The sequence below is a fragment of the Homo sapiens genome, chromosome 7 (assembly GCF_000001405.40).
Source record: "Homo sapiens chromosome 7, GRCh38.p14 Primary Assembly".
NCBI classification, from domain to species: Eukaryota; Metazoa; Chordata; class Mammalia; order Primates; family Hominidae; genus Homo; species Homo sapiens.
The window spans coordinates 46,290,392-46,291,709 of record NC_000007.14 but is presented as its reverse complement, the minus strand read 5'-3'; the positions used below and the strand labels follow the sequence as shown (position 1 = coordinate 46,291,709).

The 1,318-nt window shown below is 46.5% G+C and overlaps 1 annotated feature.

The window, feature by feature from the left end:
• Positions 633 to 712: an enhancer, noted in NCBI's record as "active region_25974". NCBI's record gives its function as "activates an Ori minimal core promoter by ATAC-STARR-seq in GM12878 lymphoblastoid cells {active_cell/tissue: GM12878}" and the evidence as "EXISTENCE:reporter gene assay evidence [ECO:0000049][PMID:35858748]".

Here is a 1,318-nt window from a genome sequence, read left to right as displayed (position 1 = left end):
GGACAGGTAAGAGGGATGACTATTTATCCTAGACCAGATCAAAATGGGCTCAGGATTCTCAAATGACACATTTAAGGAATAAGTAACTAATTCATTAATTCGGTTTGATCATTGTTTTATTTGTGTTTTGGGTTTTGTTTTGCTTTCTTTTTCTAGAAAATCAAGGCACAGAGCTACACGATGTCCTTACCCAGTAGAATCCAGTCTACTAAGGAATAAGATCAACTTTCAGGTGACCAAGAATTATGATCAATCATTCCCTGGGTATTCTTGTTTCATCACCCATCCATCAACACACAAGAGACAAAAAACCCTTTCACAGCCTCCTTGAGAGATGTTGTGCAGGTGAGATGCATGTATTTGCCCAGAGTTGTGGGCTGAGATCAGGGGCCTCTGGAGTAATGTGGGCAATGCAGGTAATGGGATCAGAATGACTCCGCAGGCCTGCGAGCCACGCCTGACAGAGCCAGCTGTGCACTCCCTCTCCAGAAAGGAGAGGTCTGAGTAATGGTGGCCAGGCTCCTCTCTGGCTGGGTGGGTGGCTCCTCTGGCCTAAAGCCAGAGAGCAGCTTCTCAGATTAAATCAACGTTTTGCACCATGCCCTGAAGCAAGTGGGGCCGTTTCCAGGGACAGCTTTGGGTTTAGTGTGCTGACTGTGTGTCCCAGCTGAGCCATCTCAGTGGCACCCAGTCCTGGTGTCTGGACATCTGGGAGATTTCTATTCTTAACCAGGTAGCCCTGAAAACCAAAGCCTCAACTTAGTCTCTTAAAAAAGGGGGAATTATAGTCCCCATGCAACAGGGTAGGTATTCACTAAATACCAGTTCCTTCCTCTTTAGAGGTTATAAAACCTTGGTTAACAGATAAGTGCAGAAAGTCAACACTCAGTTCCTGCTTGTTGAATCTGAACCACCACTGGAAGAAAGGCAGGCAGGGGTCTTCCCTCTGGTCAGCAGCACTTTCAGATCTAGGGGCTGAATAAAGGATCTACTTCCTCCTAGTTACACATTTAATGTGGACCCTTCTCTGTGAAGAGGGATATTCATTTGCAAGTCTTCTTTAGTGCCAGCACTGGAGGCTACTGCTGACCCAGAAGGAGGGGGTCTGGTGCACACCTTATCAAACATGTCAACACCACTTAAAGCAATGGGCTCAGGAGCCCAAGCCTCACTCCTGAACCCTCCTCTCTAAAGCTTCCCAGACAGGGGCTGAGGTATAATGATTGCATGTTGCAATAAAGCTGACCTAAAAGGTCTCCAGCAACACAGGCATTTAGCACAATGAAATCATACAAAAGTGGAATTCTGTGCAACGTTG